This window comes from Homo sapiens, chromosome 15, assembly GCF_000001405.40.
Source record: "Homo sapiens chromosome 15, GRCh38.p14 Primary Assembly".
Lineage (NCBI taxonomy): Eukaryota > Metazoa > Chordata > Mammalia > Primates > Hominidae > Homo > Homo sapiens.
In genome coordinates this window covers 47124629-47126724 of record NC_000015.10, presented here as the reverse complement: position 1 = coordinate 47126724, position 2096 = coordinate 47124629, and positions in this window count along the sequence as shown.

Genomic DNA, 2096 nt, shown 5'->3' with positions numbered 1-2096 from the left:
ACCACAATGAAATAAAACTAGAAATTAATAACAAGCAGAATTTTGGAAAATATACAAATACATAAAAGTTAATATTCTCCTGAATGATCACTGGGTCAAAAAATTTAAGAAGAAAATGGAAAAATTTCTTAAAACCAAGGATAATAAAAACACAACATACCAAAATTCATGAGATACAGCAAAAGCAGTAATAAGAAGAAAGTTTATAAGTGCCTACATCAAAAAAAGAGGAAAAATTCCAAATGAAAACCTAACAATGAATCTTAAATAACTAGAAAAGCAAGAGCAAACCCAAAATTAATAGAAGAAAAGAAACAATAAAATTCAAGCAGAAATAAATGAAATTGAAATTAAAAAATACAAAAGATGAATGAAACCAAAAGTTGCGTTTTTGACAAGTTAAAAAAAATTGACAAACCTTTAGCCAGAATAAGAAAAAAAAGAGAAAATCCAAATAAACAAAATCAGAAATGAAAAAGGAAACATCCTGGGACTCAATGGCTTCACTGCTGAATTGTATCACACATTTAAAGAACTAATACCAATCATATCCGAACTATTCTGAAAAATAGAGGAGGAGGAAATACCTCTGAACTCATTCTTCAAGGCCAGTATTACCCTGATATCAAAGCAAAGACACATCAAAAAGAGAAAATTATGAGTCAGTATCTTTGATCAATATTAATCCAAAACTCCTCAATGAAATACTAGGAAATTGAATGCAACAATACATTAGGAAGCTTATTCATCATGAACGAGTGGGATTTCTCCCTGGGATGCAAGGATAGTTCAAAATGTGATATTGATTCAATCAACGTGATACATCGTATCTACAGAATGAAGGATGAAAACCCTATGATAATTTCAACTGATGCTGAAAAAAATTGGATAAAATTCAACATCCCTTCATGATAAAAAAAAAAACCTCAAAAGCTGAGGATAGGAGGAATATACCTCAAGATGATAAAAGCCACATATGACAGACCCACAGCTAGTATTACACTGAATCAGGAAAAGCTTAAAGCCTTTTCTCTAAGATCTGGAACCCAACAAGGATGCCAACTGTAATCACTATTATTGAAAGACCTAGCTAGAGCAATCAGACAAGAGAAAAATAAAAAAGACATCCAAATTGGAAAGGAAGATGTTAAGTTATCCTTGTTTGCAGATGATAAGATTGTATATTTGGAAAAACCTAAAGACTCCAAAAGAAAACTACTAGAACTGATAAACAGACTCAGGAAAGTTGCAGGATACAAAGTCAACAAACAAAATCAATAACATTTCTATATGCCAACAGGTAACAATCTGAAAAATTAATAAAAAGTAACCTCACTTAAAATAGCCACACATAAAATTAAATATCTAGGAATTAATCAAAGAAGTTAAAGATCTCTATGATGAAAAAAGTAAGACACTGATGAAAGAAACAGAAGAGGACACACACAAAAAAAGGAAAAATATTACATGTCCATGAATTGGAAGAATAAAGTGGAAAAATATTTTATGTTCATGGATTGGAAGAATCAATATTGTTAAAATATCCATACTACCCAAAGCAACCTACAGATTCAATGCAATCTCTATCAAAATACCAATGTCATTTTTCAGAGAAATACAAAAAACAATCCTAGAATTTATATGGAACCATGAAAGACCCAGAATAGACAAAGCTATCCTAAGTAAAAAGAACTGGTGTGATCACATTGCCTGACTTCAAATTATACTGTAGAGCTATAGTACCCCAAAACAGCATAGTACTGGCATAAAAACAGACACATAGACTAACAAAACAGAATAGAGAACTGAGAAGCAAATCCACGTACCTACAGTGAACTCATTTTTGACAAAGGTGCCAAGCACATACACTGAGGAAAAGACAGTCTCTTCAATAAATGGTGTTGAGAAAACTGGATATCCATATGCAGAAGAATGAAACTAGACCCCTATCTCTCACCATATACAAAAGCCAAATCAAAATAGATTACAGACTTAAATCTAAGACCTCAAACTATGAAAACTCAAACTACTATAAGAAAACATTGGGGAAATCAGGACATTGGTCTGAGCAAACATGTCTTGAGCAATATCCGATA